The sequence below is a fragment of the Homo sapiens genome, chromosome 3, assembly GCF_000001405.40.
Source record: "Homo sapiens chromosome 3, GRCh38.p14 Primary Assembly".
Lineage (NCBI taxonomy): Eukaryota > Metazoa > Chordata > Mammalia > Primates > Hominidae > Homo > Homo sapiens.
In genome coordinates this window covers 112,988,231-113,002,408 of record NC_000003.12, presented here as the reverse complement: position 1 = coordinate 113,002,408, position 14,178 = coordinate 112,988,231, and the positions used below count along the sequence as shown (strand labels likewise).

General features: G+C 37.4%; 1 protein-coding gene across 3 annotated transcripts, besides 3 other annotated features; it reads right to left on the bottom strand.

The window, feature by feature from the left end:
- Positions 1-439: 439 nt before the first annotated feature.
- GTPBP8 (GTP binding protein 8) lies at positions 440-11,425 on the bottom strand. Of its 3 annotated transcripts, NM_014170.4 has the most exons (6): positions 11,074-11,425; positions 9,285-9,383; positions 7,144-7,274; positions 5,418-5,517; positions 2,845-2,963; positions 440-1,559 (listed from the first exon to the last, which is right to left on the bottom strand). In NM_014170.4, the coding sequence occupies exons 1-6, from the start codon at positions 11,407-11,409 to the stop codon at positions 1,490-1,492; spliced, it is 855 nt and encodes a 284-aa protein (NP_054889.2). In that variant the 5' UTR covers positions 11,410-11,425; the 3' UTR covers positions 440-1,489. The 3 variants fall into 3 exon arrangements, with proteins under 3 accessions (NP_054889.2, NP_612494.1, XP_047304002.1); NM_138485.2 differs by lacking the exon at positions 9,285-9,383; XM_047448046.1 differs by lacking the exons at positions 440-1,559; positions 2,845-2,963; positions 7,144-7,274 and having other exon boundaries at positions 5,475-5,517.
- Positions 11,168-11,377: an enhancer, noted in NCBI's record as "active region_20246". NCBI's record gives its function as "activates an Ori minimal core promoter by ATAC-STARR-seq in GM12878 lymphoblastoid cells {active_cell/tissue: GM12878}" and the evidence as "EXISTENCE:reporter gene assay evidence [ECO:0000049][PMID:35858748]".
- Positions 11,168-11,883: a biological region, named in NCBI's record as "NANOG-H3K27ac-H3K4me1 hESC enhancer GRCh37_chr3:112709373-112710000".
- Positions 11,256-11,883: an enhancer, noted in NCBI's record as "NANOG-H3K27ac-H3K4me1 hESC enhancer chr3:112709373-112710000 (GRCh37/hg19 assembly coordinates)". NCBI's record gives its function as "activates a minimal SCP1, AML or CMV promoter by ChIP-STARR-seq in primed H9 embryonic stem cells {active_cell/tissue: H9 hESC(primed)}" and the evidence as "EXISTENCE:reporter gene assay evidence [ECO:0000049][PMID:30033119]".

Genomic DNA, 14,178 nt, shown 5'->3' with positions numbered 1-14,178 from the left:
ACTCTCAGCCTTTGGGGGTAGGTTGCATAGACCTGGTCACTATACAACACATATTTCCTAGGACTTGTCACAAGTTCCCTCAAGATCTAGCACTAGTGCCTATGTTTTGGCTAACTCAATGAATATGTTGTTAATAGGCTTGTCTGTCTTGTTTCATTTTGCCACTGTTCCCTGGGATCACTTCCCAAATTTACATATGTAAGCTTTTGGCTCAGGCTCTGCTTATAGGAGAACCAAGGATAAATCAAAGCAGTGAAGTAACACTGGCAGACAAAAAGATGACTTCTAAGATAATTCTTTTGTTACTATATATTTTATGAATGTCTATATTAAAAAATCTTTTTTTTGGCTGAAAACATTCCTGCTTAGATTAGACCAATTCTGTCAACTATAAAACTGACAATATATTCAGATTGTTTTCTAAAGAAAAGCCACGAAGTTGGTTTATAGCTTTAATTTGTTATCCAGCAATACAGCTATAACCTTTTAATATTAAGCTTCACTTTGAAAACCTAAGCCACTTACATGAATAGGTTAGTGGCACCTTCACAAAAATCTTCTCTATTAACTTTAGTTCAAAGGCTTTATTTTTCCATTCTGAATCTTAAATGTAGCAGTCTAAACTGTCCCATCAGCTTTTTTCTCTTGCCCTTTACAAATTAGTTTTCTCACTTAAAGCTATTTTTGTTTTTTGCTTTTTCACTAGTGAAAATGTTACTTCCCCCATGAAAGGACATTTCTTGTAATAAATCTACCTGTGAATTTTGCTATATTTCTTTGTTGGTTTGGCTTTACAAATATGTAGCTGTCTTCTCACATGTTACCTGCTGTAAAACCATTCATTTGAATCTTAATAGCTTTCACGTTTACAGTAACAAATGAATTTCCGAGAAATCAAGTAAGTTGCCCAAGATCCAACATATATAATAAACATCAGAACTAGAACTTGAATTCTGTTCTTTCGGTTGTTTCCAACATGGACTAACACATTTTATCAAGAATGTTTTCAATATTCAAATAAGGACTCAAAAAAATAGGCTTACATAGTAACTTTTATCCATCAACTTACCTATCGATGCTTAACAGAAAAGCAGCCCCCTTTTACCTAGCCCATTTTAACATTTAAAAAAAAAATACCCATAGTAGACATATTCTTTAAAAGACAAAAGCCCAATAAAACGTCAAACCCTTCTGTACATAGTTGTAACAGGTTTTCATTTTATGGATGTGCTCTTGTCAGTTTGTTAAAATAGGGGAATCAGCTAGTAGCTGTTCTAATGAACACCATAATTCAATAACTTACAAACTTTTTTCACCTCAGGCACAAATTCTTGTTTCGAGAAGGCACAGGTTTTAAAGCTCAAGTGATCCTCCTGAAGTTACAGATGCACAACATTTAAAACAATGTTGAAATTCTTCTAGGTATTTAACTCCAGTTAGCATAAAGCTTTTTTTTTTTTTTTTGAATCTTCAGCTAAACCGGGAACCATTAGTCAAGACTTCCTGTTACACTGGCTATAAAGCATCTCAACAGGTGGATTCCAGAAAAGGTCACAGCACTGTGAAAAGAAAAGAGAAATAATTTTCTTCCTTTCCTCAGATATAACATCTGAATTCATCAACTTAAAAAAATTTACAAATTCTTATGATTTCATATATGAAAGCAGAACATCTTTTAATGTGTTCTAGCTTTCTTCTCTTCCCCCAGCCGCGTCTTGTAGTATTCTAAAATCTGATGATCAATATTATCTGATCCATTTCCTTCATGATTCCAAAAATTTCACTATATCTTCTATTTTGCTTTGTTTTCCAGAATAAGTCTTGATCTCTTTAGTTTGTTCTTTTTGTAATAAATATTCAATTACCTTGTTAGACTTTTTAGGTTTTAAAAAAATTACCATCACCATTATTGTACATATTATTTATCTATCTGTCTTCCTATATCCATCTGTGCGTCCGTCTGTCCGTCCGTATGGAGATCAGCCAAAATGTTTCTCAGGTATGGATATACTACAGTTTTTTTTGGTGGTGGTGGTGGTTTTTGAGACAGAGTCTCACTCTGTCGCCCAGGCTGGAGTGCAATGGCGTGATCTTGGCTCACTGCAACCTCTGCCTCCCGAGCAGCTGGGATTACAGGCATGTGCCACCACATCTGGCTAATTTTTTTTTTTATTTTAATTTTTCTAGAGATGGGGTTTCACCATGTTGACCAGGCTGGTTTTGGACTCCCGACCTCAGGTGATCTGCCCACCTCGGCCTCCCAAAAATGCTAGGATCACAGGCATGAGCCATGGCACCTGGCCTTCAAATGTCTCTAGTTTTAAGTGACACTTTAAGAAACACTGATAATATTACAGGTTTTCAGTACATAACGTTATAAAAACAATTCAACTAACAAGTGGATAAAGAAAATGTGGTATTTATGTACCATGTAATACTACTCAGCCATAAAATGGAACAAAATAATGGCATGTGAAGCAACCTGGATGGAGGTGGAGACCATTATTCTAAGTGAAGTAACTCAGGAATAAAAAGCCAAATACTGTATGTTCTCACTTAGAAGTGGGAGCTAAGCTATGAGGACACAAATGCATAAGAATGATATAATGGACTTTGGGGATTCATGGGGAAAGGTGGGAGGGGTGAGCGAAAAAAGACTACACATAGGGTACAGTGTACACTGCTCAGGTGATGGGTGCACTAAAATCTCATAAATAACCACTAAAGAACTTTTCCATGCAACCAAAAACCTGTTCCCCAAAAACTATCGAAATAAAAAAAAAACCCACAACATTCTCAAGATTACTTCATAAAAAACAAAAAACAAAACAATTCAACTCTTACCTTACAGGAAACAACTGAGGAAAACATCCTTGAGTTTTCATGTTAACAAATTTCTGGATCTGAAGCACTTGTTTTAAAAGATGTCCCTTGGAAGATTTGTCAATTTTTGTTAATACAATCTATAAGAAAACAAATTTTTATGCATTAGAAATAAAGTGGTTCTTAATAATTTTACACATTTTAGCTATAATTTTTCATTTACAACTAGGTGACCCGTGCAAATTTATCTCTGTACCTATTTCCTCATCTATAAAATAAAAATAATGACCCATAAAGGGGTAGCTGAAAAGATTAAATGAGCAAATGTGTGAAACACATCAAGTATACACTGTATGTCTGCTGCTTAATGGTGCTTTAACCACATAGGGCCACAATATCTTGGAAAGATCAATGAGAAGGGTCCTGGAGTTATATTTGCAATTGTTCATATGATCACAATATACCTGATAGCTTAAGATATATAAATGAATATTGGGTTTATCTATACAAAATTGCCAATTTGTAATCATTTTTTGACCTATACTCTAAAGAAAAAAATCAGAAATCAGGCTATTTGTAGGTTCTATCTACTAGTTATATTCCAAGTAAGTCCAGAATTCTACTTGTCCAGAGACAAGTAACATAGTGCAGAAAGGTCAAAGTATGGGTGATTATTACAAAAATCAATTAAAAATAAAACCTTAATCCACCAGATATTCCTGGTGAGTTTCTGTAAAATTAAATTTCCTGGCAAATCATGCTTTTTAGTCATAAAAGATGCTAATGGCAGGAGTGTGGTGTCATGATACATATATTGGTTTATGTCCATGGTTCCTTTCTCATAACTCCCATAGCCCTTGTTACGATCATTTGTTATAATGTTGGATATGTTAGGCATCAGGAAACAAAATCTCTCTGACCTCCTGCCTTCCATTCACCTGCTCCAAGACAAGACTTGTAATCTTCTCTCACCTTTCTGATTGTGGTCATATGACCCTCATTCCAGAGAGGGTCCCACCTCATACCCTGGGGGAAGGGATGCTGATGTTATGAAGCTTCCATAAAAGCCCAGGAAGACTGGGTTTGGAGAGCTTCCAAATAGCTGAACACAGGTAGGTTTCCAAAGGGTGGCATGCCCAAGGAGGACATGGAGGTTCTGTGCATCTTCATTATATCCTTTGTAATATACTTTATAATACCATCAGAAAACATGTTTCCCTGAGTTCTGTGAGCCACTCCAGCAATTAAACCCAAAGAGGGGGTAGTTGGAACCCCAACTTGAAGCCAGTCTAGATATTCTAGAGGCCCAAAATTGTGACTAGTGTCTGAAGCCGGGTGGGAGGAGTCGTCTTGGGGACTGAATCCTCAATCTGTGGGATTGTGTCCACTGGTTGTTGGTGAAGACAAAAACCCCTACACATTTAGCCACAGAAGTCTTCTGTGTTAATTGTTGTGGTATGAGAGCAGAGGAAAAACATGGTTCCAGTGTTTTTCCCACAGTGAGAAGCAGAAAGTGTGTGGTTTCTAATGACTTGTGAACCCCTCCGCAAATGGGAGTCTTTCCTCATAAAGGCAAATGTTCTGATATTTAAAAGGAGATACAGATATAACTTTTCTATTCCAATTCCTTTTCCAACGAAGAAAGTAATATTTCCTTTCAGTTAAAATTGAGGAAAATATATGATTTCATAAACTAGTATCTGCGATACCAAATAAAGAATACTATTATTTAGTTTGGCAATATTTAGGCATTTTTACTAGGCAGACTATCAATCCTTTGACTTCTCATAACTATAAATCATCTCTAATGCTTCATAGGGCTTTTGCAGACCCCAAGAATTCCAAGACCCCAAGAATAAAACAAAAGTGGCTGACTAGTAATTTGGTGTGATTTGTACTAAACTCCACTGTTACATATTAGTGGCTGACATCTTTTTGAAAGCAAATTAGTTATTGGGTTCTTCACTTTTCTTTGGAAAGAAACTTTAAGAGTGCCATTTTTTCTGGAAGTCTCACAAAGCAAAATTAATGTGGATACCAATCTACAATTCTGGTATTCTAGTCTAGGTCAAAAGACCAAGAATACTGGTAAGAAATTCCCAGAAGAAATTTTGTTTGCTTTAAAAATATAAAAATCCTACTTGTGTGTGCTGGAGGCTGCTATGTTCCTGGAACAATTTTAAAGTTTTAAATTAGTTAAGCAACTTTTTAAGTTGCAGTTTTATTCACATTCTTATAAGTACTATCTGCCACGCTGCTGTTAAAGAGCTACTAACTTTTTCTGAACAAATGTTTATGTTGCCATAAAAAGAAAAAAATATGAACAGTATCTAGGAACATTAAATGAACAGCCTAAAGAAACCTTTACTTTGACTATAATTTTCAAAACATAGCTGAGTGACAGAAAAGAGAATAAAAGTGCCATAGAACTTCTTTTAATATTAATGGATGATTAATTGAAAAGATTATTCAAAAGGCACTCTCCTTTATCTTTTGAGGCAACACAAGCTCAATTGTTAAAAGGTGCATGTTCACACAGATGCACGTAGAACTGATATTTCTAATTGCAACCATGATTCAAAGGAAGTACTTACCACATAAGGTAATGCAAATTCTTCACACATTTCTATGGCAATATTGTCTGTTTTTTGAATTCCAACAACGCTATCCACTAATAAAAATGTTCTCTTCAAGCTATAAGCATGTAGAAAAGAAGATTAATGGCAATATAAAATATACCCATTCATTTATCCCCTCTTCCTTACTGTACTAAGAAATTCTTCTTTGAATAATTCTCATTCCAAAATTAAAACATTTCTTTAGGCAACAGGAATTCTCAATTTGCCAGAAGTTTATCCTGCAGTCCAGTAGGTCTCAATGCTATTTACTTTCAATAACTAAATTCACTAAATATTAATTTAAATCAATAAGGATATATTGGATATAAGACATTCTGCCTGGGACTTGATATATAATGAGTGAGTTCCCTCCTCTAAAAGCTTAAACTCGAGGAGGAGAAAGAGATACAAATCAAATTAACCATAAATTACAGATTATAAATTATAGGAACCATAAATTATAAAAAATTAACCATAAGTTATAAATTTTTTTTTTTGTTTTTTTAGACAGAGCCTCATTCTGTTGCCCAGGGTAGAATGCAGTGGCACAATCTTGGCTCACTAACCTCTGCCTCCTGGGTTTGAGTGATTGTCCTGCCTCAGTCTCCTGAGGAGTTGGGATTACAGGCATGTGCCACCATGCCTGGCTGATTTTTTTTTTTTTGTATTTTTAGTAGAGTTGAGGTTTTGCCATGTTGCCAGGCTGGTCTCGAACTCCTGACCTCAAGTGATCCGCCGACCTCGGCCTCCCAAAGTGCTGAGATTACAGGCGTGAGCCGGCGTGCCTGGTCTATATGGGAATTTTTAAATATTACCCTAACACTAACAGATAACAGAAACCAGACACATTATATCTTGCATTTTATGTAAATATTTGATTTTACCCCTTATGTAAAGCTACAACAAACAAGATACATTTTTTTCATTTCAAAAGATTAACATCAATTTTCTATATATTGTGCAATTCTTAGAACTATCACTTGATTACATAAGGAGACAAAAAAGAGATATCATTTGCAGCAAATGTGATGTCTGAAGTATTTTAAGAATGATCAGAATTTACTGATTTTAACCAACAATTTTCATTTTCAAAATTAGCCAGGTAAGAGTTTGGTTTTAAAAAAAATTAATGGGCCAGGTGCGGTGGTTCATGCCTGTAATCTCACACTTTGGGAGGGCAAGGCGGGTGGATCACCTGAGGTCAGGAGTTCGAGACCAGCCTGGCCAACACAGTGAAACCCTGTCTCTACTAAAAATACAAAAATGAGCCGGGCATGGTGGCGTGCACCTGTAGTCTCAGCTACTCAGGAGGCTGAGGCGGGAGAATCACTTGAACTCTGGAGAAGAAGGTTGCAGTGATCCTAGATTGCATGACTGCATTCCAGCCTGGGTCACAGAACGAGACTGTCTCAAAAAAAAAAATGAAAAAAAAAATGCTGAAGTACACTTTACTCTCAATCTCAATTTGGGAAAACACTTAAATTTAATATTAAGGGTAAGCTAAACCACAGACAGAAAACAAGCAAGCAGTATATACCTTGGTCCTAAATATTGTATTATAGAATATTATGAGAATAAAATGGACCTTATAAAATAAGTCATTTGATAAAACTGAAGTGTTAATCATGTGTATAATACTCTACTGATGAAAACATGCTTTGGGGTTAAATGTATAACTATTATAAGAAAATCTTTTCCTTACTTCCTTCGTTCTTTTAGATAGGTCTCTACCATGTCAACAAAATCTTCAGGTGCTCTAAAGCCATAACCTGGCATGTCCACCACTGTAAAATGTTTTCCAACTTTGAAAAAATTCATTTTCTTTGTGTGTCCCTGATAAAGTAAATAGAAAAAGAAAAGCTGTCTTAAGATATGTCCTCCATCTAGTTAATGATTCAAAATGTTTTCCAGTTAATCAACAAATATTTATTAAAAGCCAAGTATATAACCTTAACTATGCTGATGATGACACAGGAAAAGAAGACAGAAGGGAAATGGCTGGAGATAAGTTTAGATCATACTACTTTTCGCTTCATTTTAAAAAAAGAATCTGTATGACTTAAGAAGAACTTTAGATTCCATATTAGAAACATGTAGGCAAAATATTTTGGAGTCTTTCCTATTGCATTCACTCTTAGTGAAAAATTCACCCTGTTCTAAATTGTGACTGCATCAGTCAATATTCTCTGATGAACAATGTATCTCCACTTTAAAGAGAAACTAATTATGGCAAGGATAGGTTAAAATGTTTACCATCAGTCATACACATTTTCATAAAACCTAGATCCAAACTCTGATCGTTTCTTATACCTAGACTATTGCTTCCCTAAAATCAAGATGTTTTGCATGTTTTATTAGGTGGATTTTAGTGCTTTTATTAAACAATTTTTTACTGCATATACAACATGATAATTACAAAACATTTGTGCAACTAAAATTGATGCACAGATGATGAAAAGTGGTTTACTCAGTTTTGTGTCCATAGAACAGATATTAATCAGAAAAGATAAGATTATGATAGGCAACTTTTTTTTTTTTTTTTTTGAGACAGAGTTTCACTCTTGTTGTCCAGGCTGGAGTGCAATGGTGCAATCTCAGCTCACCGCAACCTCCACCTCCTGGGTTCAAGCGATTCTCTTGCCTCAGCCTCCCGATTAGCTGGAATTACAGGAATGCACCACCGCGCCTGGCTAATTTTGTATTTTTAGTGGAAATGGGGTTTCTCCATGTTGGTCAGGCTGGTCTCGAACTCCCAACCTCAGGTGATTGGCCAGCCTCGGCCTCCCCAAAGTGCTGGGATTACAGGCATGAGCCACTGTGCCCGGCAAGATAGGCAATTTTTAAAGTTAAGTCAATTGTTTGGATCTTAGAACAAATATTATCAAAGGAAAGATTTTTATAAATGGTGATTTTAAGTTCCCAGTCAGTTTATTTGTCTACAGGAAAATGATTTTAGAATTACAGATTGGGAATGTCAAGAATACATTTCCTCCATTGTCCTCTCACAAAAGGAAGGAGATCACTCTACTTAGAAGTGATCATTTGGCTGATTTATTTGGTGAGGCGGGGCAGGAGTAAGGATGGGAGGGTTAAGTAATGGGAAGAATCATTAGCGATGGAGCCAGAGAATCATTTTATGAAGTGAGGAGCAAGAAAAGACCTAGTGAAGTCTCATGGAAGGGTTCCAACTCAATGAAAGGGGTGTGTGTGCGTTCGTGCACGCACATACACAGGGATAGTGAACATTAGGGTTGGTGGAAAGGTTTACCATGGCCAGATATGGTGAGACAAAGTGGGGGTGATTTTGAAGAAAGGGTATCTTAGATATTGGCAGAGACTGCGTCGTTGAGAAGAAAGTAGAGGGAATTAGAAAATGAAAGAAAGCTATTACAGCAGACTGGCTAGGAAAACAAGCACATAAGAATATGCCGAATGTGTGTGTGTAACTAATCACGTACTTTATACCTTAAAAAAGATTATAGGAGGAAAAAAGCAAGAAAAACCTAAAAGCCATTTACCGTACAATCAGTGTAGAACTAGATGATCACTGTTATAGGAGGAAATATAGAATGACAATAAGACACTTTATTTGGCAACTCTGCAAAATTTGGATAAAGAAAGACTTTCTGAAGATATTGTCTAGACTACTAAAATAAATCCAGCTACACTTCCTTTTCTTCAGAGGAATACACAGGCATTAGGATGTCTTACTTTATTACTTTTTTGAAAGAAATCACTTCTCTAGGAACTTAGTAATTATGATTTCTTATACCTTCCAGCATTTATTATTCATGTTAGTTAATCCAAGAGATAGTCCAAACATATTTAAAAACTTCAACATACTGGTTTTTTGGAGACTCTGACTTCAACCTCAGGGGCCAGTGAAAATAAAGCCTTGATTAGAGATGATTTTCCAACATTGCTTCTGCCTATAAAACACACCTTATACAAGAAAAAACAAGATAAGTACGTACTAGCTGTATATGCTATTCTGCATTAGATGTAAAAAACTTCAAATTCTAACACAGCTAATATTTATTGAATGAATTAAATGTGCCAGGTACTATTTTAAGCATTCAGCATATATTTTCTTATTCATTTTTTACAGCATCTAGGAGGTAGGTGATATTATCCCCATTTTACGGATGAGAGAACACAACTAACCCAAAATTATACAGCTAGAAAGTGAAGGAGTTGGGATTTGAACTCAGGACATGTATATCTAGAATCTGTGCTTTTAGTTTCACTACGCTACTCAAGAATATATGCAACTTTTATTAAGCATTTCATATTTACAAAGCTTTTTAGAGTAAAAACTAGATGTAGTTCAACAGAACTAGATGAAAAGTACAACTACATGTTTGGAAGCACATTTTCTCAAGCACTCCCATGGTATACTGTAACACCACTGCAATTTAAAAACTTACTCTTTTCCCTTGACCTCTCTTGTTCCAATTAAGCTTGTCTCCTCTGTAGTGTGGAAAACAACAGAATATTCTCGATAATAACCATTAATACACATGGCTCTGCTTTTGAACATGGTATTGGGGGAGGGGGTACAATGCCAATCAGTTGTTCTAAATGACGGCCGTACTGCCCCTTGAGGGACATTTTGGAGATTTTAAGGGCATTTTTGGTTATCAAGACAATTGGGGGACATTTAGTGGGCAGGGGCCAGGGATCCTATCCTGGAAAATTCTGGTCAGTTCTTCAAAATTAATTGATCTGAGTCCTGCAAAAATTTTAAATGCTCTGCCAGAGCAAATCTAATGCTAATATGTAGATAAAACTGAATTTTAAAAACGAATTACAAAAAAGTCCAGTAATTTAGAAGCTTAAATAAAAAAGCAATGGCTGTCTCAAAATCATTAAATAATTGAGGTACTCTTTGAATCCTGACTATAGTTCCACATATATTTAGACGAAATATCTCTGGGCAATGGTGCACTTAGTGTAAATACATATGGAGAGTTGAGATGCCTTTTAGCAGACTTAGAACAGAATATCAATAAATTGTAGGACATGCAAGAATGCTCACTCATGAAATTTCACTAATAAACGTTGTTATAAAAATTTTTCCACATTATTGCCATCTAGAGATTATTATTTTTGCACGATAGGAAATTTAGATTAGGCGAAAGTTACTTATTGATAAGGACCATCTCATTTGTGAAACTATTATTCGTTTCCTATTCTTCACTGTCTAAATTCTGTCTAATTTGTCTGGCATGTTTTCCCTACTTAAGTTAAATAGAAGAAAAAAGGAGAGTTAATTTTTTGAATGCTTAATTTGGGTTTGAAAAGCTTTTAAAGCATTTTGAAGTCTTCTATATTCATTCCAAAATAATTTAAGCTGTATACAGGCAGTCTCTGCTTACAGTGGGTCGACTTAACGATTTTTGACTTTACCATGGGTTTATGGGTATTGACTGCATTTTGTACTTAACAATGGGTTTCTCGGGTATCCCCACGTACAGGGAGCATCGACATATGCCTATTGAGTTAAAATAATATATGCGCCAACATAAAGCTAGAAAATACAACCGCAAAATCACCCGCGAGCCGGACGGCCAGGGAAGCGGTTAGCGCTGTGACGCCGGCGCGCAGGTGAACCGTGAGAATCGCCTCTCACCTCTGGCCGCGGAAGGTCCGGGGCGTGGTCGATACGGACGGCGGAGCTGACGTAGTCGATGCGGTTCCGTTCAGTGGCCGTGAAGATGTTGTCCGCCCTGGCTATGTCCTCCGGGCTTGGGTCAAAGATACGCAGGTGAAGGTCTTGCCTCCCGTAGGGGGCGAGGAACCGCTCTACTTCCTGCAGCGGGTACAGCAGCTTCCTCAGCTGCTGCTTCGGCAGCCGCAGCACCTCAGCAAAAGCTTGGGACGTGCTATTATAGCGGCTCAGTCGCTCTAGCACCGCAGGCATTTCAAAGAGTCTTCCCGCTCCCAGCCGCAGCCCGGGCGCCGCCATTCTCCCTTCCCAGAAGACGGGCAGAGAGATTTTACTCCTGTGGCCTGGGTTGCGCGTGCGTGACTTCCCGCTGCCGCGACGCCTGCTGGGAGTTGTTGTCTCCTCTGGCCTCGCTCGTTCCGGTCTAAGTGTTTTGCCTTCAGTGCGCGGGAGGAGGGTGGAGGCAGGCGGTGACCTGCGGGGAACAGCTCACTGGGTTTCTTTAACACCGTGGGCTTAACGATTATGTCTTACTGGAAGGATGTTTAACGGTTTGCAGAGGTGAAAGACCTATCTGGCCATGTGGCCTTTGAGTCTCAAGCGAAGGACTAAAGTGTGAAGCTCCGATGCATTCCAGGAACGTTTGATTTTCACAGTTTTTGGTTATCTTATTAACTGTTGACGTTTGTCGTAAGTCCGCAGCACTAGGATAAACACTTTTGCAAAAAAGAAAAGGGCTGATGAGAAATGTGATTGTAATAGCACCTCGTTTTCGTGGAAGGGACTGTTTGTATTTCCGCCTTCACTATAGGTGCAGGAAATGTCATTAAATTTTAGAGATTTCTTATAAAAACAGTTTTGCACAGATGTTACAGAATTGTTTCGTGGACGTTTCGTAATATCATCTTATTTCAAAAGTTTCTCCCTAAAGTCGATCAGTACTGAAATGGGAGATACAGGTATCATAATGATGAAATGAATAACTGAAAAATATTCATATGTTAAAAAAACTAGGTTTTCTAAAACATCAGCAGCCCAGAAAGGGTAACTCATGGTTTCTTGAGCTATTCCCCAGGTTGTTCAGTAATTAAACAGTACAATTCTTGAATAAATATGATACAAAAATTAATGAACAGAACCTGCGACTTTGAGGGCAGCCAATACGGCAGCCTGATGTGCTGCTGGCTGGCTAATTTTTTATTGCTCTTTGCATTAGGGTTTGGGGTGCCTTTCTGTTCGCTATTCTCTCTCCTCCATGTATAAAAGTGTGTATAATACTCTGTTGTATACATCAGAAATTTGGGATTCTCATTAGTGTGTGTTTCACTCATCCATGTGAAGAGATCACCAAACAGTCTTTGTGTGAGCAACAAGGCTGTTTATTTCACCTGGGTGCAGGTGGGCTGAGTCCCAAAAGAGAGTCAGCAAAGGTGGTGGGATTATCATTAGTTCTTATAGGTTTTGGGACAGGCGGTGGAGTTAAGAGCAATGTTTTAGGGGCAGAGGGTAGATCTCACAAAGTACATTCTCAAGGGTGGGGAGAATTACAAAGAAACTTCTTAAGGGTGGGGGAGATTATAAAGAACATTGATCAGTTAGGATAGGGCAGAAACAAATCACAATGGTGGAATGTCATCAGTTAAGCTGTTTTCCCTTCTGTGGATCTTCAGGCCTTCTGGATGTATACGTGCAGGTCACTGGGGATATGATGGCTTAGCTTGGGCTCAGAGGCCTGACGCTGTGTATGTAATATACTTTGAAAGTGCTTTTATACATGCCATTTTGTTTTCAAACCTTGGAACCCCAGGTTTGGAAATAAGAGCATAAAAGAGTTTTGGCGATTCTTAGAAAGGTTTTAGAGGTGTTCCGGGATTAATAGACATTATAGTATTCATTTAATAATCATTCATGTTTCTGAATTCTAAATCATTTTGGATTTCACCTGATAGGACAAATCATTTTAGAATTATTTGACAGGACAGTTTTTGCAACAAATTGTCTTGTCATGCAAAGCTTGAAGGATCAAACGGTCTACTGGAAAGAAGTATGACTAGTAAAACCACTTGACAATTTATATATTTTTTTCTCTTTCACTTCATCTTTTAAAAGCATCTGTGTAAACAAAGCATATAAAACTTCAGGATGATTTAGAGTTAATAATACACTATGTTTTCCCTCAACATGATTAAACTCATAATTTGCAGAAGTTCAAATATGAAACATACATAGCAGTGAGACCTACTAGTGAGACAGGTGAGGGCTAGAATTGGGAGGAATTAGTTTATAATAACCCCATTGTAGGGCTGCAGTGGAAATCATCTGGTCTACAGGGAATTATCAAAGCCCAGGAAAAGAGGCTCACACCTGTAATCCTAGCACTTTGGGAGGCCAAGGCAGGAGGATCGCTTGAGCCTGGGCAACAAAACGAGACTGTCCCTAAAAAAATAATAAAAACAAAATTAGTATTGAAGGGAATCAAGTCTGGTGGATAGGATGTTGTGACAGGACTTTCTGGGTTCTGGCAATAGTACTGTGAATCTGTTGTTGTTGGCAGCATCTTGGTTCGAGGTGGTCTTTTTGTGTGTGGAGTAGGAGCTTAGCCAATAAGTGTAGATTGGGAGTCAGGATCTAGCCTGCTAGATCAGGACTAGGTCAGGGCTAAGATTCAGAATAGGGTTTTAGTCCAAGTAGGGAAAAGAAGGACTGTAGATTAGAAAATCTTGCTGTCTAATATGCGCCTCCCATTTCCTAGGTCCAAAACAGAATTTCTAATATCCTTTAATTGTCTCCTAATCTGTAAGAGACAATGGCACCTCCATTCCTCCAATTGACTTAGCTGAAAATCTTGGGAGAAAATTCTGGACTCCTTTTTCTGTTACCCCAAGTCCAAGTTGTTAGCAATCCCCTTGGCTTTACCTTGAAAACATATCCTGAATTGGATACTTTTTAGCACATCCACTGCCACCACCCTGATACAAGCCACCATTATCTCCCACCTAGATTATTGCAGTAGCTTTCAAATTGATCACCCACCTTTGCCCTTTGCCCCCTTCAGTATATTTGCAACAT

Bases quoted from the DNA above. Each gene is read 5' to 3' on its own strand.
- GTPBP8 (NM_014170.4), bottom strand. From the start codon at position 11,409: ATGGCGGCGCCCGGGCTGCGGCTGGGAGCGGGAAGACTCTTTGAAATG. The intron at 7,275-9,284 runs GTATGTTGAAGT...TTACTTTATCAG, and splicing joins TCAGAGTCTCCAAAAAACCA to GGACACACAAAGAAAATGAA. The intron at 2,964-5,417 runs GTAAGTACTTCC...GTTTTCTTATAG, and splicing joins AATTTGCATTACCTTATGTG to ATTGTATTAACAAAAATTGA.